This window comes from Homo sapiens, chromosome 5 (genome assembly GCF_000001405.40).
Source record: "Homo sapiens chromosome 5, GRCh38.p14 Primary Assembly".
NCBI lineage: Eukaryota > Metazoa > Chordata > Mammalia > Primates > Hominidae > Homo > Homo sapiens.
Genome location: NC_000005.10, coordinates 35,639,995 through 35,666,985, shown reverse-complemented (window position 1 = coordinate 35,666,985; position 26,991 = coordinate 35,639,995). Strand labels below are relative to the sequence as shown.

At 37.9% G+C, this 26,991-nt stretch overlaps 1 protein-coding gene across 21 annotated transcripts in view, besides 1 other annotated feature; it reads right to left on the bottom strand.

Annotated features, from left to right (window-relative positions):
* Window positions 1-26,991, bottom strand: part of SPEF2 (sperm flagellar 2) — a 196,749-nt gene that overhangs the window by 147,626 nt on the left and 22,132 nt on the right. For 16 of the 21 annotated variants that reach the window (XR_925655.3, XM_011514136.4, NM_024867.4 and 13 more), the window contains exons 3-8: window positions 25,303-25,555; window positions 22,461-22,631; window positions 20,179-20,319; window positions 17,561-17,625; window positions 12,260-12,446; window positions 7,779-7,967 (exon numbers count right to left, since the gene is read on the bottom strand). Coding sequence is in view for 20 of the 21 variants with exons in the window: in XM_011514136.4 (XP_011512438.1) it covers window positions 7,779-7,967; window positions 12,260-12,446; window positions 17,561-17,625; window positions 20,179-20,319; window positions 22,461-22,631; window positions 25,303-25,555 (1,006 nt within the window). In the remaining variant the exon portion in view is untranslated. The other 5 variants (XM_024446219.2, XM_011514140.3, XM_017009880.3 and 2 more) reach the window with 3 other exon arrangements.
* Window positions 13,285-13,579: a silencer, noted in NCBI's record as "tiled region #7256; HepG2 Repressive non-DNase unmatched - State 24:Quies". NCBI's record gives its function as "represses a minimal TATA promoter and a strong SV40 promoter by Sharpr-MPRA in HepG2 cells {active_cell/tissue: HepG2}" and the evidence as "EXISTENCE:reporter gene assay evidence [ECO:0000049][PMID:27701403]".

Here is a 26,991-nt window from a genome sequence, read left to right as displayed (position 1 = left end):
AGTAGAATGAAACCTCTTCTCACACCAGGAAAAAAATTAATCATGAATGAACACTTTTTTCTTAATACATTAGCACTTAATGCAAAGACAATATTGGAAATATCCTACTCTTAGCTTATCTTATCAACAAAGCATAATACAGTCAGACGTGATCTAACTGGGGAAAGCCCAATGTGGATTAATGAGGAATTGGATCTTAAGCCTTCAAAAAGAAGTCCTGAGTTCACCGGTTGCAAATAGGGATCGGAGAGAAACAGGCAAGTTTGTGCCAGACCCTAAGCATAGCTGACCCCTCCCTCCCACCTCCAAAGTGCCAATTTTGACACATCTGCTATAGCCATTGCCCTCTGTCTTTCAATGGGAGAGTTCTATAATACTGGTTTATACTTAGAAAATATTTTAGAAAGTCCCAGATTATACTGGCTTGAGAATATAACACATTTGCCAACAAATGTTAAATGTGTTAATTACAACCCTCTACAGATACAGCCTTAACAACTGATGGCATTCATTTGTAGGAACATCTATTTATGTAGAAAGCAATGAAACACTTAGCTTGTTATCGCCCTCTCCTTAGTGCATTATTATTTTGTTTAGGGAATCTTTTCTTCACACAAGGTACAAAGGTTGAACTCAGTCCAGCCAAGCTGAGGATAACATAATACTTAATAAGTGGGATTCAAATGACCAAATATTGCTTTTCAGATAGCTACGCCAGCTTCTTGAGAAATTCAGTTACGTGCTAGCCTGCTCTAGGAAAAAGACTTCCCTCCTGTAACAACCCAGTGAGTATCAAATGGAAGTAAACTTGGGCTTTGGAGGAGCTATGGTCGAGTTCAAGCCCTAGATTTTATATAGAATTCAATTTCTAGCTGTGAGACCTTGGGCAAGTCATTAGTCTCCTTGTGCCTCCATTTCCTCAAAGTCAGGTTATTAATAGTACTTAGCATACCCCAAAAAATTACCAAACCATCTCATCAGAACAAATATTTCCTATTATGATACTATTCATAAATGACTAGATGTGTGACAATGGATTGCTGTGTAAGGTCCACCATTTGTTTTGCTATTACTGTTTTATTTTGTGTGCTTATTTCATTTTTGTTGGGAAGGGGGTTAAGCTGGGTGATCACTAAGGTCAGTTCTGTACATTTGACAGATTCAGGAATTACATCAGAGTTTGTTATTCTTGTATTATTCTGTATACCCTGTTTTTATGGAGAAAGAGTACAATTTAAGTACAAAGCTTTATGGCATGATTCATGAAGTGAAGAATTCAGAGGAAAAATGAATCTAAGAGAGCAGAAATATCCAATGAGAATTCATGGAAAGAGTGACAAAAAAAAATGGATCATGAGGTTGGTTTACTACAGAGTTCTCTGAAACACATGGAAATATTTAGGATGTGAGGAAAAAAAACCTTTAAGGGAATAGTAGAATGGTCCTACCAGTAATAGTATAGCTTTCAACCCTGGTTGCTGCCATTGCCTGTCTCCGCATCTCCCTCTCTCTCTTCCTCCCTTCCTCGCTCCCTCCCTCCCTCCCTCTGTTCCTCTCCCTCCCTTCATCCAGCTGTCTAGTCTTCCTTCTCCTTTTCTATATCTACCATCAATCCTCTGCCAAAGCCACCATAATTTCCTGTCTCATTACAGCTAAGTGGGTTGCAGCCATAAAAAGAGAAGGAGGAAAAGGAAAAAGGAAGTCTGTGGGAGGTAGTAAATCTCCGTGGTTATGAGCCTGGACTCTAAAATCTGATAGAGCTGGCCTTGCTCCCTGCTACACCACTGAGAAGCTGTGTGACTTTGAGCCTTCTAGTCTTCAATTTCCTGATGTGTTAAATGTAAATAAGGATGGCATCCACTTATGGTCGTTGAAAGAATTATATTATACATGCTTGTAACAAACATAGTACAATGCTTGACTCAAAGTAAAGCTCAAAAAACATCAAATATTATTGTAATGAATTTTCAATAATTATAGTAGGTAGCACAGAAATTTGAAATCAGGAACTGTCTTAATATAGAATAGTTTTGCAATTGTCTCAAAGGAAGAGATTAGCAGATTTAATCTAAAAACAAAACAAAAACGCTCAAAAAATTGAGAGTGAAAGAAAAACACAAAGTTCTCCTCCCTCGTTTTCTCTCTCTCCTCCTTCCTTCCTCTCTCCCTCTCCCTCTTCCTCTCCCTCTCTCTCCCTCCCTCTTTCTCTCTCTCTCTCTCTCCTCCTTCCTTCCTCTCTCTCTCTCCCTCTCCCTCTCTCTCCCTCCCTCTCTCTCTCTCTCTCTCTTCTTTCCCTTCCTTTCCCCCGAGATGGAGTCTTGCTGTCATCCAGAGCTGGAGTGCAATGGAGTTATCTCGGCTCACTACAACCTCAGCCTCCTGGGTTCAAGCAATTCTCCTGCCTCAGCCTCCCAAGTAGCTGGGACTACAGGTGCACACCATCACACCTGGCTAATTTTTGTATTTTTAGTAGAGACAGGGTTTCACCATGTTGGCCTTGAACTCTTGTCCTCGTGATCCACCTGCCTTGGCCTCCCAAAGTGGTGGGATTACAGGTGTGAGCCACCATGGTCAGCCTTTCCTTTCTTCCTTCCTTCCTTCTTTCCTTCCTTCCTTCCTTCTTTCCTTCCTTCCTTCCCTCGTCTCTCTTTTCCCTTTCTTTTCTTTTTCCTTCCTTCCTTCCTTCTTTCCTCTTTTTTTTTTTTTTCTTTATTTCATGAGCAAGAGCAAACGTGGTACTGCCCTTATGGACTTTACATGCCAGTGGGATAGGCAAACAGTCAAAAAGCCACACAAATACATGTATAATTACACACTATGACAAGTGTCATTAGGGCAAGACCATGGGGTATGAGGCCTGACCTAGACAAGAAGGGGCATATGCATGGAGCTTTGAAAACAAGTATTAATTGGGTGAAGGCACTTGGGAAGAGGGGCAAAGTAGAAGAAATGACTTGTTCAAGGATCTGAGAGCAAACCAATGTGGCCAGAACCCAGGCAATGAAAATGAAGGGGGGCAATGAAGCCTCAGAGGGGATTATATGGAAGACCAACAAAGGCTGGAGCAGCCTCCCCAAAGTTTCCTGTGCCACTGAGGGTAGCATGTTGGCTGCAGTAGCTGAGGTCTCAATAGTACTGGGCTTGCACCTGATGACTGTAGTGTTTCCAAGATGGCTTGGCCCTTATAACCTGGGGCATTGTACATTCTCTGTGTGCAGAGGTAGGATGAAAGAGTAAAACTTAGGGTTGATTTAAGGAAAATAAATAATGTTATATTCTTACACTCTCCAGTTTTTGGTCACCAATTCATAACCACTAAAAATGGATAAAGGAAACCACTGCAGTAGTAGTACTGCAGTAGAAACCAGGGGTGGTAGTGTAGACATGGAGGAAAATGGACACGATGAAGAGAAATTTAATACATGAAAATGATAACACTCAGTGGATATTTTGGGTATGGAAGAATAAGGGTGAAGCAGCTTTCAGGTGGGCCCTGAAGTTTCAGGCTTATACAATTTGATAAATAATGATGCCATTTGTTGAGCTATGGAACATTGAAAAAGACTAGTTTCATAGCAAAGGTCATACATTTGGCTTGGAACATGTTGAATTTGAAGTGTCTCTGAGACATATGACCACAGATGTCAAGGAATACTAAAACTATGGCCCTTCATCTTGGAGGACAGAGGCATAACTGCATGGGTCATCTGTCTATTGCAGTAAATACTTCACCATGGTTGTGGATGAAATTGTCTGAGAAATAACATAGAAAAGAATATAAGGAAGTCAAAGATGAAGCTTTGAGCAATCTGTTAATAAATGTTTTGATATAAGGGAACAATGGGCCTGTAAAGACAATGACCCTGCTCCTGAGAAGGAGCAGCCAAAGAAGTAGAAACAAAATCAGTATTTTCCACAGCAATACTTAATAGAAAGTAGCCATGGAATAGCAAATAAATACTATTAAAATAAGTAATACAAATATTATTAATACTTTGTGAGCATAGTTAAGAAACCTTAAAGACCTTAATAGATTTAAAAGTACTTTTAGAATGTGCCATCTCCTCCCACTCTCAAATAACAATAAAAATGACAAGAACAATAAAAACTAAGAACAAAGCTGGAAGCATCGCACTACCTGATTTCAAACTACACTACACTACACAGGGCTAGAGTAATCAAAACACAAAAACAGACACATAGACCAATGGACCAGAATAGAGAACCCAGAAATAAGACCACACACCTCCAGTCATCAGATCTTCAACAAACCTGACAAACACAAGCAATGGGGAAAGGATTTCCTATTTGATAGATGGTGCTGGGATAACTGGCTACCTATATGCAGAAGATAGAAACTGGACCCCTCCCTTACACCATATACAATAATTAACTCAAGATGGATTAAAGACTTAAATGTAAAACCCAAAGCTATAAAAACCCTGGAAGACAACCTAAGTAATGCCATTCAGGACATAAGCACGGGCAAAGATTTCATGATGAAGATGCCAAAAGCAATTGCAACAAAAGCAAAAATTGACAAATGGGATCTAATTAAACTAAAGAGCTTCTGCACAGCAAAAGAAACTGTTGACAGAGTATACCAACAACCTACAGAATGGGAGAAAATTTTTACAAACTATGCATCTGACAAAGGTCTAATATCCAACATCTATAAGAAACTCAGACAAATTTACAAGAGAAAAAACAAACAACCCCATTAAAAAGTGGGCAAATGACATGAACAGACACTTTTCAAAAGAAGACATACAAATGGCTAACAAACGTGAAAAAAAAGCTTAACATCACTGACCATTAGATACATGCAAATCAAAACCATAATGAGATACCATCTCATACCAGTCAGAATGACTATTACCAAAAAGTCAAAAAACAACAGATGCTGGTGAGGTTGTAGAGAAAAAGGAACACTTTTACACTGTAGGTGGAAGAGTAAATTAGTTCAACCATTGTGGAGGACAGTGTGGCAATTCCTCAAAGATCTACAGGCAGAAATACCACTCAACCCAGCAATTCCATTACTGGGTTTATACCCAAAGGAATATAAATCATTCTATTTTAAAGACCCATGAATGCCTACATTCATTGCAGCACTATTCACAATAGCAAAGACATGGAATCAACCTAAATGCCAATCAATGATAGACTGGATAAAGAAAATGTGGTATATATACACCATGGAATAATATGCAGCCATAAAAAGCAATGAGATCATGTCCTTTGCAGAGACATGGATTGAGCTGGAGGCTATTATCCTCAGCAAACTAATGCAGGAATAGAAAACCAAATACTGCATGTTCTCACTTATAAGTGGAAGCTAAATTATGAGAACACATGGACACACGGAGGGGAACAACACATACTGGGACCTTTCAGAGGGTGGAGGGTGGGAGGAGAGAGAGGATCAGGCAAAATAACTAATGGGCACTAGGCTTAATACCTGGGTGATGAAATAATCTGTACAACAAACCCCCATGACACACATTTACCTATGTAACAAACCTGCACTTATACCCCTGAACTTAAAAGTTAAACAAATATATATATATTTTTTGTTAACAAATATATATATATATTTATCTTGGTATATATATTTTTTGGTATATATGTGTGTGTGTATATATATATACACACACTTTGGTATATGTGTATATATGTGTGTATAATATATATATATATATATATATATATATATATATATATATATATAATATATACCAAAAAAAAAACCTCCTTTCTTCACATAAAAGAAGTAGAATGATAATGCTGTAGGGAATAAAATGGATTTTGTTTAGTTAGTGAATGATACTGGAAAGAAGAGGTGACTGTTAATTTGGCAAACTGAATTCAACATTTATTGATTGATTTATTCAGCTCCTACTTATGTACCAGCTACTGTTGGTGGAGGAGTTGATAAACTCAACATGTATGGATGAAAGCCATAAAATCCAACCATCTCTAAGGGAGAGATGCCAAGGAACTAGATAGCTCCGCTGTTGGAAAAGGTAATCATGTGAGAGGAAGAAATATAATTTTTTCAGATGCTTCAGAACCTCACAATTTAGGTCTCTCAGGCTTTAGCAGGCCCAACTGTTCCGGTCCTCTGAAGTTAGTTCAACCCCAGTTCAAGAAAGAATAGATGATCCTTATCACTGTGAGACCAGTCCAGCTAAACATACTTTGCTATTTAGCTGAGCTTGTGAAATAAACATATTTTTCAAATAGGCACTTAGAAAGATAAACACATCATTTCTAATGTAAGTAAATGCCACTCAGTCTAGTCAAGTCTATTGTTGCCAAAGAAGAGAGATGAAACAATCATCCAGATAACTCAGCTCTTGAAGCCAAAGAAGACATTGAGGTCAGCATTCATTCAGCTCAAATTCATGGGGTATGGTTCTCTCTCCCCATTCCATACCCACCGTTTAGGCTATGCCTGTTCCACAAAGGCAAAAGCAACACTCTCCTCCCTGCAAAATATGCTACTTTCCAAATGATATTTCTAAAAATTGCATAATTTTGGCAAAAGTTACATTACACTTTCATGGGGTATCACAGTGGAAGCTATGAAGCTAGTAAATAAAACACTGCCCTCCTGTTTTCTATAAGGTTTCTCTTCTGCCCAGTCTGGTTTTGTGAATATCTTATGATAGTAAAGACAGGCTATCTAAAATGCCACTCACAGGAGTTCTCTTCAATCAAATGTGGACAAACGGATTAAATAAATCTGAAACATCCCCAATAGGAAGTAGACAAGAAGTAATCCATATACTCCATTAATAAAATCAATCTATTTTTTTTTACTAGAACTCACATATACATAAAGTTTGGGACAAAAATAATCTATTAAATAATTAAAAGATTGGATATTTTGATTTTCAGAGTTGTAAAAGGGCCGAGACACAATGATACCATAGTAGCAAAGAGCACAGCTAGCAGCCCAGATGTGAGTTTCTGTATACCATTCTCAACTACAGTGCACCACAGTACCCTAGATAAAGCATTTATTCTCATTCTGAGGAAGGAATAGCATAATATGGGCCTGAGGAATCTCTTTTTTTTTTTTTCAGAAGGCAAGGAATTGTTGATTAAAGACTAATGGTGTCTAGTTGAAAGGAAGCAGCTTAAAAGTTCTCTCACTGCCTGAGGATATTTACCTAGAATAACCAATACCAATGCCTACTCTAGTAAACTTAGTGAACTTTTAAAGAAAAAAAAAGTATCTAAAAAAAAAGTAATGACTCAAGGAACTGAAAGTTAGACTATCACCATTCTTTTTGGCAGCACACTTCATACTTGAAGAAAACAGAGTGACATATTTAAGATATTCAAGGAAACAAAGTGTGAACTAACCATTTTATATACAGCCAAACTTACAATCAAGTATAAAAGGCACACACTGTTATAAGAACTCAGGGAATATGGTTTCCATGAGCCCTTCATGAGAAACCTATTGGAGAAAGAGCTTCAGACAATCAAAATGACTAGAGAGACATGGACATAAGGGTTGGTGGTGAGCATTAAGTACTTAGCTACTTGTAGAACCAAGATTAAAAGAAGACAGTATAGTACTATGTAGCAGCTACATGCCCTGTTGATGGAGTTATACAAAAATAAAAATGGGCAGATAACAGGTTGATCATACAAAAGAAAATCTTATTAGATGATTGGCAACAAAATATAGCTTTGTTTACCACGACTTGGTAGAAAGAAACAAAAGTAACCTTAGAAAGATTTCTAAGGAAGATGGTATTTACCGCTTCTCGATCAAGAGCATCCTGGAAATCTTTAAGTCGTCTTTCCTCATGTTGTTTTTCTCTGAAAATTCTGTTTTGCCATAAAACTTCCTTTTCATGCCGAACATGCATGAGCTGCACGGCAATCCTGCGCTCCTGCTGGGACTGCCGCATCAGCCGGTTAATCAGCTGTTCCTCCCGATAAGCCTCCTGAAAACACCAGGGGAATTATTTGTTAAAGTGACGTCCAAATTTCCCGCTGAGCTACGAAGCCTATACAGAAACAATATACAAAAGGCATAATGTTCATCTAAATCAGTTTCTGTCATTTGACTTAATTTGAACATGGCAAAAAAAATCATGTTATGAAATGAGGATTTCCAACAAAAGTTGGTGTTTAGAAACATTATGGCTTTGCAACTCACAATTACTTTAAACAAATTATTACTTCATTCAAAACATTATTAGAAATAAATTAGGTGATTTTTTTTCAAGGTTTTAAAAACAAGCAAATAGCTAATGGATACTAGGCTTAATATCTGGGTGATGAAATAATCTGTACCACAAACTCCTGTAACACGAGTTTACCTATATAACAAACCTGCACATGTACCCCGAACTTAAAATAAAAGTTAAAAAAAAAATAAGTGCTATAACTCTAAACTTAAAAGCATGTTTTCAGAAGGTTGGGATTATGCTGTACGCATTTTAACATAACTACTAGTTATAAAACAAATCAGGCATTGTCAGCTGAAGACTGCAGATCTGATTAGTTCCCCGTGAGGATATCACAATACCAACGTGAGGAAAAGCTATTAATACAAACTGACAGAATGTGAAGCCTGGAGAAGAGGCTGGGGGAAATGACCTACTGCTTATCTTATCTGAGTGATCATAATCTGAAAGAAAAACTAGATAGATGTATTCTTGGCTGTTTGAGGAGAATAGAAAGGTGACCAGTAAATGAACAGTGGAAAAAAAACATTAAACTGGGAATCAGAGGACCTGGTCATCATAATAGGCTGGGTGGCCTTGGGCAATTAACTCAGTTTCTCGGGCCTATTTCTCATTAGGTAAAATTATGGGTTTAGGTGGAAGATAATATCCAAGTCCCCATCAAGCTCTCTCACTCTTTCGAAACAGAGACATCATGTGGAAAGAGGAGGTATCTATAGTACTCAATGGGGAAGACATAGAAAAATATCTAGAGACCAGAACTTACTCTGGTCTACAACCACTATTTAATTTTCCAAAGATGCCCAAGCAGCTCTATAGAGGAATAGGGCACTGCAGGAAAGACCTGACAGCTAAGTATTCAAGGGTCTTCTAGTTAAGAAGTGAGGGAAGGGCCTGGCGTTCAAATGCCAGTTCCAAAGAAATGGCATAGAAAAGATTCTTAGAAGGCAGAGGTAACTGACTTGGGGCAAACCTTAATTGGCCAAGACACTAGCCATATGACCACAAAACCAGGTGGGAGCCAAACTGTGTTCCCAGTTTGAATACACTTAAATGCCTATGAAGTACTTTAACAAGCCCAAAACTAAACTCACTAACTCCCCTTCAGACCTGGTCCTCTCCCCATATTTCCCCATCTCAGTTGATGATCCTACAATAATCCACTCTGTGATCTAAGACATTAGGGCCATCCTAAGTTCACTCCTCTCTCATCACTCCTAATACTCAATTGTTCAAGAAGTAGTCTAGTAAACCTCCTAGGTATGTTTTTAAACCACCCCCCCGATTCCATTCCATACCCAGTGACACCACCCCTATCTTGAACAACATCAGCCCCTCCCTACCAATCCTTTTCTTACCATCCCTACTCTCAAAACCTATCCCCTAAAAAGTCAAATTGATTTTTATAACTTTAAATCTCATCATTTAGTTCACATAATTCCACGTATTTATCAATCAGTAGGCAAGATATCAACTTGAGCACAGGTCTCTGGCTGTCTCTTCACCAGCCAAACTAAAACAGGAATACCTAAATTCCAGGGAGAAACTGGAACAACTTGAAAGCTAGGGAAGATATTTTGAGGCATTTCTGATGGATTAAGTGCAAATGGCACCAGAAGAAAACATTCAGGGCTGATGTGGGATTTATGTCATGCTTGTGAAAAGCAGCAAGTAATTGAAGGAAGTAGAATTCCTAGCCCTGACATATACCATTTTTCCTCTGGAGGAGAGGAGAATGGATGGAAAAACCAGCCATTGTACACATAAGAATTTCCCATTCCACCACTGTGGACCAGGATCTCTTGTGTCAGTTGCACAGGAGCCTGGGCTCACTACATTCCATAGGAAGGAGGTGGTAGGAATGGAGGGAATGCAGCATATGCTTCAGGCCTGGTTCTAGGAATAGCAGCTCACCCACACACAGAAAAGCAGCAGCACAAGATGAGGTTCCTGTGATGGAAATATATAGAGCCCTGGCTCTTTTTTAGGCCCCTTAGGTTGCTGGATTTCCAAACTGGTAAATATACCTCCAACTCTAGTTTTGAAAAGTCAGTGTTAATAGCATCCTAGTGGAAAGTGAGGAAATCTAGAAAGAATTCATTTATTCCATTTTCCAGGCAAACGCCAGACCTAGATTACAAGCAGAAAATTAGTGAGAAAAAACCTTGCAGCCAACACACAAGTACTTTGGAACATACATAGAAATGTGTTCAAAATTTCATTGCTAGGTAATGAAACTTGAAATGGGTAGGTATTTTAAAACTAACTTTTCAACTATCTAGTTTTCATAATTTGAAATTCTTCTAATTAAAAGGGAGATAACCAAACTGATTGAATAAAGATAAAATTTGAAGAAATCAGAATATGAAGAAATAACTTTCTAGCACAAAGAGATGTGCAGAGCTATTTTTCTGAACTTTCACTAAGAAAGAAGTGGAATCCATGAATAAATTTCACTTCTTCATATTTATATGAAGGCTTTATTTCCTTTCAGCGAACAAGCAGACCAGACGTGGGTAGGTGAATAAAAGCATCTTCAAATGGTCTTTGTAGACATGCAGATTTGTCCTATTTACATTCCCAACTGAAATCACTGCCCACCCCAAGTTTGTTCCTCTTACCATCTTCCATATCTCAGCAAATTACACCTCCAGCCATCCAGGTGCACAACCTAGAAATCCAATTTTTCATCCCACTTTTTCACTTTCCCTTGTTTAATGAATCAATAAGTCTTATTGATTTTACCTCCAAAATAGCTCTTAAAGCTACTTCTCTCAATCCCTATTGCCACTACACTACATTTAAACTGGGATAATCTCTTACCTGAATTACAGCAACAACAGACTTGGATTGCCCTTCTGTAATCTATTCTCCAAACTAAAGCCAGAGTGATCTTTCCACAGGCAAGTCTGACCTGGTCACTCTTATTCTGCTTTGCATTCAAACAGGAAATCACAAAATCTCCTATTTCTTTCTGTGTATCTTACAAGGCTCATCATAATTTGGCCTCTGGTGACTCCTGCCAGATGGCATGACTTTCAGTTAGCTAAAAACACTGAGCTTTCCATGTGATATTCCCTTGTCTGGAAACACTCACCTTCCACCACCTTTCCTGGAAACTGCCCCTAACCCTGACCCCACCACGACCATCCCACCTTCAATTAGCTAACTCCTGACTCTTTATCCATGCTTCTGCTATTGTCCTCCAGACACTGTCTCCTGAAGCAAGCCAGGTGGACTTCTCTAAGTGTCATTCACCCTAATCCCTCTTTCACCTTCACAGAACTTTCACACTCCAATGTACTTGCTGTTTGTAGATGCTCCTATAAACAGAAAGCTCTGGGAGACAGGTGTCTTGTTATTCTTGCTCTCTGTCATATCTCTGGGCCTATCACAAGTACTCAAAGCATAGAAGTTCAATAAATATGTGTTCAATGTAAGAAATGATCAGTGATTCTCAAGCTGCAGTGGCGTCAGGATCACCTAGACAGCCTGTTAGCACGGATCACTGGGCCCCACCCCCAGAGTTTCAGGTCTGGTCTGGGGTGGGGCCCAATAATCTGTATTCCTAAAAGTCCCAAGCAATGCTGGTGCTGTTCGTCCAGGAACCATGCTTAAAGAACCACTGGAATAGACTGGCGAACAAAAGGAGAGGATGAACAACTTTTCCACATTGTTTTCATTAAACCATTCCCTTTTTCCTCTAAAAGTAACAATAGAGTACACATGGCAGATACAGATTTTAGGTTCCTTTTAATGTATTTTTTATTAAGGTAAAATATACATAACATAAAATTTACCATTTTTAAAGTATACATTTGTCTTAATTACATTCACAATGTTGTACAACTATCACCAGATTTTAGATTCTTTAGTAAATAGCTACTTTTCTTCCTAGTATATTTGCTATTATGATGAGGATGTGAAAGTGACATTTGATGCAGAGTAGCAGACAATACATATATAAACTACATATTATGTGTATAGAAGACTACATTTTGTAGAATTCCCAGCACTATTACTTAACCTTCATCTAAATATCTTACCTCTTGTGCTTCGTGGGCTATTAACTGGTCCATTAACAATTTCCGCCGTCTTTTCTCCCTTTGCTCTCGTGCAAAAGCATCTTCTTCAAGGCGCTTCTGGATTTTTTTAATGTACTCGTCATCTGAGTAAGTATTTAACAAATCGGTGGTTGTCTGGCCTGCTGTATCTAAAGAAGTCTTGGATGCACTAAGAATAATAGTTTTTATTTTAGATTTTTAAATAATAATGTGATCCCATGCCACTATCTGTGACTATGGAGAAAGACCTCAGGAGAAGGATCCCTTGAGTTCACTGTTAATTTATTAATACAAGCATTGAAGAAAATATTTGAAATCAGTGTGATACCAATAGCTTATCAACAGATCCCATTTGCTTCACCCCATTTCTAAATTCTCTGTGAGGTCCTTATCATAGCCTTCTTTCAAGGCCCATCAGCTTTTTATTCTTTCACCTTTTTTTTTTTTTTGAGATAAAGTTTTGCTCTTGTTGCCCAGGCTGGAGTGCAATGGCGCATCTTGGCTCACTGCAACCTCCGCCTCCTGGGTTCAAGTGATTCTCCTGCCTCAGCCTCCTGAGTAGCTGGGATTACAGGCATGTGCCACCACGCCAGGCTAATTTTGTATTTTTAGTAGAGACAGGGTTTCACCATGTTGGGCAGGCTTGTCTCGAACTCCTGACCTCAGGTGATCTGCCCACCTTGGCCTTCCAAAGTGCTGAGGATTACAGGCATGAGCCACTGTGCCCAGCCTGTTATTTTACTTTTTTTTTTTTTTTTTTTTGAGACAGAGTCTCACTCTGTCACCCAGGCTGGAGTGCAGTGGTGCGATCTCGGCTTACTGCAACCTCCGCCTGCTGGGTTCAAGCAATTCTCCTGCCTCAGCCTCCCGAGTAGCTGGGACTACAGGCACACGCCACCACGCCCGGCTAATTTTTTGTATTTTTAGTAGAGACAGGGGTTTCACCATGCTGGTCAGGCTGGTCTCGAACTCCTGACCTCATAATCTGCCTGCCTCGGCCTCCCAAAGTGCTGGGATTACAGGCGTGAGTCACTGCGCCCGGCCTTACTTTTTATGATTTTCATTCTAACCGGAAATTCTGGATTTCTTTTCCTCTTCTTCCTGCTGGCTCTGGGCCTCTGACCTCCCCTGTTTTGAGTCAACAATAGGCAGACTATTGATAACCCAAGTGTCAGGGAAGGCACAGCTCGCAACAGCAGACCAGGCACATTAATGCCAGGTCACTAGAATACTTCTATGTACAGATGGTTCCATCTACTACACTCTTCCATCATCTATGAAAGTGCAAGTTACTCTATCAACTCTCAGATCAATTTTTGACTGCTTAGAACAGTCGCTGAACACTTATTGAAAACACAGCAGTTGAAATTTGGCTTGCTTGCCATGCCACACATGTAAGCACAGGTCTGACTGGCTTCTTGCTCATGCCCTAGAGATTCAAGTGAGAAGACTCAACTCAGAGCTCTTGTCCTATCTCATGTCCAAAACGTAAAGGATCAGGAAGAACCCAGTGGTCTTCCCAACAGAAAGTTAAGCACATTCAATTTAGTGAGTCAAATGGGGGCTTGGTACAGAATTCATAGATTCATTCCAAATTTATCATTAAAAGATACATTTTTATGTATACAAAGATCAAATAATCATCAATTCTCATCTGCATCCTCTTCAAAAAGTAAACAGAATAATACAATAGTACAAGATATACCATAATGTTACTTGCCTAGAAATAATGAATTTTTATATTATGTATAATCATTGCTTTTGTTACAAGTAATTAATATATTTGGTTTACAATATTACTTATAATCTTATTATTCAAAAAATAAGGATATATTATTAAAGTGTGTAGAGACTTGTCATCAATTCTTATATAGACACAAGTACTCTGATAAAAACATAGTTAACTCATGTTTAATTTTTATGATGTAATACCTGCATATTTATAATATAGACCATATTGTAGTATAGGTCATAATTTGGAGGTTTGCGCCTCCCAGCTGATCTCCTAGTGAATAAGAGAAGTATCCTATTTTTCTTCTGCCTGCACCTGTGCCTAGCATGCCCAGCAAATAGTTGATGTCTGCTAAATTTCAAATAATGTGCTAAAAAACACCATACATACATAAAAATCAAACTAAAGTTCCAATCATTTTATCAGCCGGGGCTCAACCTTTGATTGTATTCTGTCACTGAGAAGAGTTGAGCACAAATTATGTAGGTACCAAGCACTCAGTAAGGCCAAAGACAGAGTTTAACCCTATCTATTTATTAAGATTTAGTATTTAATTGTGTAGCGTAACACTTTTAGATCTTTCATCAAAAATCTTATTATATTTGTACTTAAGTGTGTTGTGTAAAAGCTCCTGCCCTGGATTGAGCGTGGGTTAATAGCTCTCTCAACACAATATTTATGCTGTCAATAATATACTTAACAAATTGCTTCTCCTTTATCAATTAGTCAACCCATCCATCTGTTGTCTTATTCCAATAAAGGTGAAAAAAAACTACACATTATGTACTTGAATAAATATTCATTTTACTAGATGTAGGTTTCTTGAGGGCAGTGATTATATTTTCTTTTTATCTGTTTGCTTGCCAGACCTTCATCTAATGTAATAATTGTATGTGTATAATCTATTAGTAGCAGAAACCTTGGTCAAATTTGTGTTTCTTAAGAAGTAGTTGCTGGGAAAAGCCTCTGACAAATATATTAACCCAAATACCAAATTACAGCAGCCAATAACCCCAGCTAAAGAAACAAATAGCAGACAGGATTTATTATTCATCTAAAAAATGAAAAAATGGAGGAACCTTGTTACACGGGGAAAAACCAGCCATGAGGGCTCTTGCATTGCTGGCATGAGACATTATTTCATTCTTCCACAAAAGAAAAACGATGGACTTTGAGGTGGCATCCAGAGAAACTGTTCAGGAGCAGGCTATGAAAAAGGCAGCTGCAGAAAGTGCTCCTGAGGTTCAAGTTGGGAGACTGTATTGCCTTCTGGAGTCAAGTTAGTGTGAAGTTTTTCAATGTGCCCAGAACATTCTTGATTCTAAGCTAAGATTCAGCATGAACTAAAAAAAGTAGTGATTAATGAAATGGCTTAAGAAGGGTGCTATATTGTAACCATAGCCTCTGTTTTCTTGAAAAGTTTGCTCTAGGCCAGCACTTCCCAACGTTTTTCTTTTTAAGGCCAAAAGAGAAAACGAACTTTGTGCAACACACTGGAAAGGATTTAGATTCTCAGATGAAGCTGTTCACAGCCACAGGTAACTGGCCCAGGGACTTCAGCTGCCCCAGGCCTTCTCCTCCTGCTGTAAGTGAGGGTGTCAATATCTCAGATGCCCTCTGCTGGAAATCTTTGGCAGGACCAAGTGAAGGCTTCTGTGAAGAAGGGACCTGACACTACTATTTCCCTCCCTTTTCTCTCAAAATAGAACCCCAATTTTATGCAGGGAAACAGTGTGTCCAGTTAAAGACTACGTTTCCCAGCTTCCCACTCTGTCAGGTGTGGCCATGTGACTGAATGCTCTCCAATAAGATATAAGCAGAAATGTTATATGGGACTTCTGGGAAGGCTTTTGAAAGAAGCTATTTCAGATAGGAGATATCTACTTTTTTGTCTGTCTTCCTTCCTGATATCTGGAACATGGGCCAAGTGGCCGGAGTCCCAGCAACCATCTTGTATCATGAATGTAACCTTGAGGATGAAAACCACACAACAGGACAGTGAGGCAAAAGAAAGGAGAAGCCTCAGTCCTTGATAACCCTGGAGCTACAGCATACACTATGGGCTGCTTACCTTCTGATTTCTATTACATGAGAGACAAGCAGATTTCCCTCTAATTTCATTCACTGTTGTTTTGGGGTTTCTGAAACTAACTGATAGAGACCTAGGGTCTGGTTGGGTTGGCAAAGGCAATAGGGAGCAGGTAAATGTTTGCAGCTGTAATGTACAGGGATGATCTTTAAGACATTTAATAACTGACATGGCAAGGACACTAACCAATAGACATGGATACTGGTGCAGGGCCTGGGAGACAGTGCTGTGCTTCATCTTAACTATGGTTGCTAAACTGTGTGGAAATTGAGGGGTCCCAGGAAAGGGGCAGGCCAGGGAGCTACAGAAAGTAGCATTCACCAAGTAGCAAAGTATTCAGTAGTTTAAGATGGTCTTTCTGGTGGACACCAACTGTTTATCACCACAGAGCCTATGGTTAGAGAGATGGGTGAAAGAATGAGAAGAAATTGGTATTTTCATGGGCCAAGGTCAGGGTAGGTGTGTGCTAGGGTTCAAGTGGTGGCTGCATGGATGAGGAGACTTGGATTATGTTGTTTTTACAGGTCAGGATCAACACTGATAAATGGGAGTGGGAATCAGAATAGGGCATCAGGAGTTTCTGCAGAGGGTAGGAGGAAAGGCAATGTACATGAGTATTCTCCATTTTGCTTAATTTTCTTTCTTACACCTGACTTCATCATTTCTTCCTTATGGCTCTGATTTTCCTTGTTCCTCCTCATTTGACTGTCTCTCCCTTCCGTCAGGAAATTTTAATATGAAACTGAAGTATGTAATTTTTTTCTGCTTTTCTTTAGAATTAGTACCTTCTTTAACAGAGATTTATCTCATATTTCGTAAGATGTAAATGCATAGAGTTTGGATCATTTCCATTTAAAAATATAAAAAAACCCAAGTTGTTCCTACATATGTCATCCCTAATGAATTATTTTCTGTGAATCAATGACCTCTCATAGAAAACAAAGTGTGAAGGAGCTTTATCTTTAGGTAGATGAAGCCAGTTAATGAGGAACTTTGTTCAATGGACCCACCAAAGTGACTGTCTTAGTGACATTTGTTTAATGAACTCATTCACTCAACTTCTTACTGCTGGTCTCTATGCTAACTGCTGAGGATACAGCATGATATAAACCAAACTAGAATCTAATAAAGGATTTACTGTGACAAATTTAAATTAGTGGTACCTTGAAACAATTTTAGTGAATGTTTAAAAAATATGTGTGAACTTAGAAGAATAAACATAGCACAGAAAAATAAATCAACTTTACATTTCGTAATAGTCTCTTTCTCTCAGATATTTATAACAGTTGCTAACAATCTGAACTTTAGCTCATTTATCTTCCCTAATTACTCTCTGAATCAAGATTCTTTGGAGTGAAAAGATCCTGGAATAGCTCTTCCAGATAAACTATTTCTAAATATTCAAAAGCTATGTGTAGAACAGAATGCGGTTTTGTAATTCTTAAAATAGCTCACATCTCACCTTTCTTTTGCTTGGAGATCCTTTTTTATTAATGCTTCGAACTTCTTAATTTCATCAGCCACATCCTTTAAAGAAAATTCATCATCAGTTCTCTGCCTCTAAAAACCATTGAAAAATCTTCATTTACACATTCATTCAAGTTTATAAAGTGACAAGTACTACTAATTCAAGGTAATTAGGATATGAAAAGCTGCATTCTAAAAATTTTTTTTATAATTTTGATTTGTTGCTTTTAGACTGGGCTAACTATACCTAAAAGAATGTGAAAATTGCCTCCCCTGAATCATTCACTTCATGATTTTGACAGGGCACCAAAGGGCATTTCATTAGAATAAAGATTATCAAAGAGTCAGGACATACATTTTTGGATACAAATATTTCCTTTTCTTTTTTCTTTCTTTTTTTTTTTTTTGAGATGGAGTCTCACTCTGTCGCCCAGGCTGGAATGCAGTGGCGCGATCTCGGCTCAAGGCATCCTCCACCTCCCGGGTTCAAGTGATTCTTCTGCCTCAGCCTTCTGAGTAGCTGGGATCACAGGCATGCGCCACCACAACCGGCTAACTTTTGTATTTTTAATACAGACAGGGTTTCGCCAGGTTGACAAGGGTGGCCTCAAACTCCTGACCTCAGGTGATCCTCCCGCCTCGGCCTTCCAAAGTCAAATATTTCTTTAAAAATGGTTGTCCTGGGTGTTTTAAACATTCCTCATGCAACTTTATTTACACTATTAATTAGTTATCTGAAGTTTAACTTTAGGTCATCTTTGTGTTTTACAAACACTTTTTAAAAAACTTTAATCAGGCCAGATGCAGTGGCTCACACCTGTAATCCCAGCACTCTGGGAGGTCAAGGCCAGTGGTTTGCTTGAGCCCAGGAGTTCGAGAGCAGCCTTGCGGACCTGTAGTCCCAGTTACTCAGGAGGCTGAAGCAGGAGGATCACTTGAGCCTTGGAGGTTAAGGCTGCAATGATCCATGATTTTACCACTGCACTCCAGCCTGGGCAACAGAGTAAGACTGTGTCAAAAAAGAAAAAAAACAAACAAAAAAAAACAAAAAAAAAACTTTAATCAACTCAGGGACATATGAAAGGTAGATAGTGAAATGGAGTCAGATAAAAGCCTCTGTAGGTGGTAATTTTAGAATCCAAGTACAGAATATTTTGTTAGTATTTAAAAAACAAAAAAAAAGTGAATTAATGTAAAATTCAATGGATTTAGGAATCAGAGAGATCTGTCAATCTCTGCTTTACTACCACTGGGTAAAACATGTCAACTCTCTGGGTCTCAGTTTCCTCATCTACGAAATGGGAAAAATAATACCCTACTTAGAGAGTTATTTACAAATTAAAGATAATGTGAAGTGCCCAATCCACAGCTTGACATACAGCACATGTTCAATAAATGGTAGCTATTAATCATCTTTATAGGTCACATGAGAGAATATAAACAATCATTGTAGCAGTATGCAGTGTGAATTGCAGGAATTTGTATCAAACTGAACTGTAACATTGCTCTCCTGTGAAATATAATGAGATTGCCTCTTACTGAAATGATTGACAGTTGGTGTGGTCCAGTAAAATGTCACTGGTACAGGTATCTTAAATTTAAATATACTGATAGCAACAAGTCACTTAACATTCCTGGGATTCATAGAAAAATAGTGTGGCATGATGAGGAGGAATCGAGTAAAAGCATATAGTAGGAATGGCATACATATGCTATGTGTACCTTGACTGGCCCCTGCTGTACCCATGGCAGTTATGACCTGCTATGGTTTGGATGATTGTCCCTGAAAACCGCATGTGAAATTTGATCCCAGTGTTGAAGGTGGAACCTAACGGGAGGTGTCCGGGTCATGGCGGTGGATCATGCATGAATAGACTGATGACCTCCCTGGGGGTAAGTGAGTTCTTACTCTGTTAGTTCCCATGAGAGCCGGTTGTTAAAAAGAGACTGACACCTTCTCTCTCACTCTCTTTTTCCCTCATGAATAGATTGATTCCCTCCCTAGAGGTGGGTTCTGACTCTATCAATTCCCATGAGAGCTGGTTGTTAAAAAGAACCTGGCACCTTCTCTCTCTCTCTCTCCCTCCCTACACCCTCTCTCTCACTTTCTCTCCCCCCATGTAATGTCTGCACATTATGGCTCCACTTCCCCTCCCCCTTCTCCTTACTAAGGCCCTCACCAGATACCCAGTCTTGAATCTTCCAACCTTCAGAAACATAAGTGACATAAACCTCTTTTTCTTTAAAAATTACCCAGCCTCAGGTATTCTTTTATAGCAACACAATGGATAAGACATGACCCATTACAACAGCACCCATTCTGACCTACTTTGTTATTGACCACAGAATCTTTTTCAACACAGGAGTCCAGACTGCCATTTAATAGGAGTTTGCCATTGCTGGCCTAAAGCTACATTCTTCGTTCTGAACAAATAACAATATAAAATAAGTTGAATATGCATATAGTGGAAGAATTCTGAATGAGAAAGGACAAGGTCAGAGATAATTTGGAAAGCAAATGTGAAGTTTTGGAAAGTCTCTCTATATGTTCCAGAGACAGACTATTCTTTAGTTAAGATAAACACAGCACAATATTAAAGGATTATCACTTACTTCTGCCTCTTTTTTCTTTTTCATCATTTTTTGGGCCTCGAGTGCTTTCAAAGTACGATTTGATGCAGGTTTAGGAATCTGTATAATAGCTGCTTGGATTTTGGCCATTATTTCATTTTGTCGTCTTCTGTTTAAGTATTGCTGAATATCCCATATACATTAGTTTAGTGATTCAGAATAACAGAATAGGCAATATAATACACTCATAGGTACAAATATATAAAATTTATCTATTGAAAATTTCAGAACCCAGCAATTAGCCAAGAGACTAGGTGTCACAACTGTGTAATATTAAGAAGGAGGTGTTAATATGACTTACTGTGAAAAGCATGATATTAAAACACAATTCTGGAATCTGCAAATCATATCTATTAAATGTCTGTATTTTAATTCTGTGTGCTGATACTAAAAGGACAACAAAGATGTCCCAAATATAAATAAGTGTATAATTCTTTCCCAATCCTACTGCCATGACCTTACCAAGGATGGGAAGAAAAAAATTCTATCTCTGAAGATGGTTCAATGAGAAAATTCTATCTAGGAGATAGTTTCTAGGAGGGCTCCTGCGAAACCCAATAAAAATCACAAACTTCCCCAAAACCCAGTCACACTTAAACAATGAGTTCAGGGGCAACCTCAAAATTGAATTAACAATAAATTATGTGATACAATTATTGGATCATCTCTTCTGTATGTAGGCAGTAGTTATTTTAAGAAGACTATAAGCAGGAGAATGTATTTGAAAAGAAAAAGTGACTGAAAAATCAGATAAAGTATTTTAAAAGTAAATGATTTAAGAGGTAATATGTGAAACTAATCATGACTTTACTACTAATACATTATATTAGAACTAATATGATCATTAGCTCTCATGTCCAAAGATAAAAAATTTCAATTTACCCTTAAAAAGGCATACATTATAGACAATTTTCTTCATTTTCCAAAATATGAATATTTATTTAATTGCAATATGTTTATCTTTTTTTCTTAAGAAGACCAGGAAGACACAGAGTCTTCCTTTTGCCTTATTTGTTCCCTATGATCATTTTGAACATAATTTATTTCAGAATATTTAATGGTATCATATTTCCTTTTTCTCAACATTCTTGGAGACTGTCTGCATTAGGCTTGGCACTAATAGACAGGCTGGTTCCACATAAATTACAGTCACAGCAATTGGTCTCAACTTAAACACTACTTTAAGAGTGCTTTCTCTCTTTATCATGTAACACCAAAGGGGAATATAATCCTTTATTTACCCTCTGGCAAGTCATATAATTACATGACTGCTTTACATTTTATTATATATAAACTCTACTCCAGTTAGTCCACTCTTCTTGAAGCTACAAAAACGTTCAATTCTGAACTCTGAGGCAGGTAGAAGTAAGCATCCCCGTTTTTACAGTTGGGGAAATTGAAGCTGAGAGTTATTTAGAGGCTGGCTCAATGTTAACCAGCTTCCAAGTGATCTTCCAGTTTGTCTGTCATCTTCCCATTCTTCCCTACAAAGAGCTGACTACATTCAGAATATAATTTCTTATCATTGCAAATAAATCCATGAATTTAAAAAGTGATTTTACAGTGCAATGGGAAGAACTACATAATTCTTTTGCCTGTAGTTTACACATTCCATATACCCAGTCACCTGAAATACTCTTAAAAATCTTTAATGATTTCATGTACCATTATTCTCTCACCCACAAAGGCACAGAAGATCATTAAAGAGTTTTAAAGAAATCTGAGAAGGAGCAGAGAGTTAGTCAAAGCAAGAAGCAAGGGCCAGAAAGAAGTTGAGAGTTGTTCAAGGTGATTGAAAAGGTAAGCAAGCAAAGAATTACCTCACATCTCCAAGAACAGAGAAATGGGGCAGGACCGAAGGTTGCAAAAGAGGAGAAAGCGAGAGGACATTGTCTGATCTATCTCCCTCAGTGGTGACAATGGTCATGTGCCTTTGACCAATGGGGTAGCTAATAGCAACCCTCCATCACTAAAGCAGCTGAAACATTGATTTCTACCAGTGAAGGTAATGCAGTTGTCTTGCCACTCCAGAAGATGGCAGTTCTTGTTCTCAGCCACAAGTAGAGGTGAGAGTCAGCAAGAGTCAGGATGGAGAAAAGGAGCAGGGGAGAGAGAGAAAGGGTGAGAGTAGGGCAGGACAAAGTCATGCATCAGGGAAGTGCAACTTGTGCTCCACTACTACTTATGCAATGTGTACTATACGCATAAATCACAAACTGTATACTATGCACTAATGAATTTCTGAAAAAATAGTTCTATAGAACCTTTTCAATATCAAAACATCTTTGCTCTTCCTTGAGTTTTTGAAATCTTTCAAGTTTCTCAAAATGCAAATGGGCAAGATCTTCTTTCACGTGTTTATATTTTTCTTGAAACCTGTATGTAATCCGCATCAGATTGAAATCAGTTTGACGTGGTATCATGTGTCTAAGTCTCTAAATGAAAAAAGCATTTCAAAAGATTTTATTAGAGAATAAAGAGTACATTTTCATTATAAGCACAAATAAAATTTGTCTTCAAAATGAAATTCTTTAAATTACTATTGTTGATAGTTAAGCTAAATTCAAACCCCATTCCAATTACTCATATTCTTAATTGATGTAAGCACAATTATAAAAACATTATCCTTTGTGGTTCTTCTTACAAAATAGCCTCATATATACTTTTATAGTTAAACTTTTTACACTGAGTTAAATTTTCAATAAATGGTATTTATATTCTTGGAAATAAATTTTATTTATTTTTTTTGCAAAAATAATTTCATTAAACCAACTTTAACATATAAGAGATAATATAAGAAGCTAGATTCTTCCCATTGCTTAGCCACTCCTTAGTAAAAAGTGAAGAAACATTAAAACTTCCTAGGTTTGTGTTTCAGCTTTACCACTTACTAGCTGCTTAAAATTGGGCGAGTTACCTAATCCATCCGTGCCTTAGTTTCATCATCTGTAAAATGGGAATAATGAAAGTAACTATATTTTATGGCTGTTGTGAAGATCCAGTGAGATAATATTCATAAAGCACCTGAAACAGGGCTTGGCACATCACTAGGCATGCTGTTTAATAAATTTCAACCATTATTAATATTACCTGCACCTCTTCTCATCCAGTATCAAAGAAGATGGCATCTCTACTTCTTTCCTATGATATCACCTCTTCCACATGAACCATTGATTGCATATTCCTCTTTCCGTCCCCAGAGGGCCTCTTTCCATCTTGTCCTTGTACCATTTTCATCTCTCCTGCCACTGACTCTTTTTCTCAACTGATAAGTGGCCCCAGTCTCTAGGTCCATAAAACAAGCAATCTCATACTTCACTTGAGCTTTTCTCTCCTACTGTTCTCTTCTTTACCTCCACATTTCTTGAAAGAATAATCTATGTTACCCTCTTCCTCATCTCCAAAGTCCTTCTCAACTCACTGCAATCCATATCACTCTAATGAAACATTTTTCTCTCCCCAATATGTAAGCTCTAAGAGGGTTGGGGCTTTTCCTGTGTATTTGTTGTGCAAGTGCTTGACAAAAAGTAGGAGCCCAATAAATATTTGTTCAGTGAATGAATTATTGACGCTTGAAGTTCACCCATGACCAACATTAAATGAGCTAATAGGCACTTGTTTGTCTTCATCTACACAGCTCTTATAGCACTTGCCACTGTTGACTGCTTTACATTTTATTATATATAAACTCCACTCCAGTTAGTCCACTCTTTTTCTTGAAGCTACAAAAACATCCAATTCTGAACACTGAGGCAGGTAGAAATAAGCATCCCTGTTTTTACAGTTGGGGAAATTGAAGCTGAGAGTTGTTTAGAGGCTGGCTCAATGTTAACCAGCTTGCAAGTGAAGGAGGCCGAATGCAATAATAAATTATTCATATTAAGACTAATCTAATTTCTAGCTCTCAAGGAGCGCTGAGTCCATTCTGCTACCAGACTTACAATGATATCCATGAAGAATGGACAAATATAAACATGGAGATAGCCCTCATATCTATTACGTCATTGCTGCTTCAAAATTTAAATTTAAAAATATAATTCTATCCATTGATATTTACTATTTTGCATCAGTGCAGCACTCATGATTATTCCAGAGGCCTGTAAAAGTTAATGCACTTCATTTACCATAAGGAATTGCATAAAAACTGGAGAGAATTGTCAACTAAAAAGTCATATCAATTAGTCAATAACACATTTAATGAGTACTTACAACATTTGAAGCATTGTACTAGACATATTCATCAAATCTGATGTACTAAAAATCTGGTAAGGTCATATGACAAATAAATAATGACTAGTTAGCCAACAATATCAGTATCAGGACGGTAAAACCAAGAGAGTGAGAATTACTTATGCTCTAGAGTTCCAAAGGAAGAACTGGGACTACCCGTGTGTACTGGGCTGCACGGTAGATGAAGAACAGTTTGGGGAAGAGGAGAGATGAGAAGGGTGAGTTTGGGTTTGAGGGAAGGAAGAGCAGGAATAGACAGTCATATTTAAGGACAGACTGTCAATTAACATAGAAGAAAGAAATACCATGCTGAGGACTAGAAAGAAGTAAAAATAGGTTTCTGAGCAGAAGAACTCAATAAAAGTAAAATTTAGGGAAGATTCATTTAGCAGTTGATTGACTTATCCAGAAGATTGAGAGACATTTTAGCAGGTTGCTGCAGTAGTTGATAAGAAGATCTGAGCAGATATGATGGGGTAGAAACAGGAAGAGAGGAGCAGGCACAAAAAGTATTAGGCCTGTAGTCCCAGCTACTTGGGATGCTGAGGCAGAGGACTGCTTGAGCTCAGGAGTTTGAGACCAGCATGGGCAAAAGAGCAAGGCCCTGTCTCTCTAAAACAACAACAACAAAAAGTACTGGAAACTAGGAAAAGAGTTTGATAAGCTATTGGCAATATGGATAGGATAGAGAGAGACATCAAAAATGGCTAAATAAATTCAAATTATTAATATAAAATAAAACCCAAGTATGGCCAGTAACATACATAAAGGATATATATGCCTAATGAGGCTTCTTTGAGAATTCAATATCATTGTCATTTCTCTTTATCAAATTTTACACTGTGACATGCTTATTATGCTTTTTTATGTACCTACCTCTTGAAAAGTATCACTTTTCATGTTTTGAAGTCTTAAATTTGTCAGACGTTGCATGGTTTGCATCTCCACTCCAGTCAGTCCACTTTTCTTCTTTTTCTGAAGAGCAATGTACAATTGATATAACAGCTTTGTTGCCACCCCAGGCTTTTCTGTGATGATGCCATGGGCCACATTCTGATCAAACTGCACACCCAGAAGGTTAAGTGTTGGCTCCAAGCGAGAAAAATTATTAAGTTTGGCACTTGAAACCCTGGACAGTAAAATATTTTACATAATTAGACATTAGCATTAAATTAAAGACAAACAACAAATATCAGACATATTATCATTATCCAATATTTTGAATTATTTCATGTCCTTTTAGCTGTATCATTCCTCTCTAAAACCACTCTAATGTAACTACATTGAGATTTTTTTATTGACCATGTCTACCTGAACTCTATGCATTCATTTCTTTTAAATGGCTACACTAAAATTTTTCTGCTCTAAATTGACAATAGGATTTCTTCAGAAGTAAATACAGAAGTCACAACACCTAAACTTGATATACTGTTCCTAGTATACTATTTCTCAAGAGATTGCATTCAGGTAGTGGCTCTAAATCTTTTGTTTTTGAATCACAGATACCTTTGAAAATCTGACAGCTATGGAACTTTTTTACAGAAAAGGAAACATACATTTATACATACAGACAAAGCGTGTATAACATCATATAGCATGTTTTTGAGCCTCTTACAGTCTAACCTAAAAGCACCCATCTTCCAAAAAGATGTGGCGCTCAGGAAATATAAGAGTGATTTCTAAATATAAATGAGGAGCCAGCACCATGAGATGGCCAATGTCAACAAAAATAGTGATGCAATATCTTGAATTCATGTTCTGATCATGTGGTGTAACTTACTGTCCTGTTTCCTCTGTGTACTAGTAACTCTTTTAACATAAATATTTAGCAAGATATATTTAGTGTATTATGCGGCATCAATCAAACTTCAAATAAAATATTTTAAATTAATAAAAGAGAAAAAGGCCTTGGAGGAGACGAGAAGAGATAATGCATGCTACAAGAAAACCTTCTCAGCATGAGACTAAATATACTTTTTTAAAGGTCTTCTCAGGTCCAGTTTTGCAATCTGTTTCTCCACAAATCATCGTACAGTTGGAGATACAACATTTGTCTAAAATGACTCAGGTAAAGCAGACCATGTTTTGAGGAATATGATTGTGAAAGAAGATAGTCAAATCAATGACATGTGCTTCCATTCTCTAGAAAGGCATCTATCACCCCTTTTGATCTTCCATCACAGTCGTCCTTTCATGCCCTTCCCATTTTAGGAGTCCTGTGTGCTTTGCTCACTACACATAATTGGAAAGATGTGAACTGAGAGCCATCTGTCAGAGCTTTGGTCTGGGTTATAACCTTGGGCTACAGATTTTAGGGGCATGTTAATTCAGGAGGGAGAGTCCAAAAGCAAACATTACCCATTTCCAAATTTTGTCAAAGCTTAGCCCTGCACTCAAGAAAAAGAGAGAAGAGTTTTCTCTTTCTCTCAATTGTATCATGTGGCTCCCAGAATGCAGTTAATAAGCCTGTTAATGTTATACTTCAGTTACCTACTAGGGTTTAAATGTATTTTATGAACTGGCCAAAGTACACAGGTCTAACAATACTTCTCTTTGGAAGCTTAT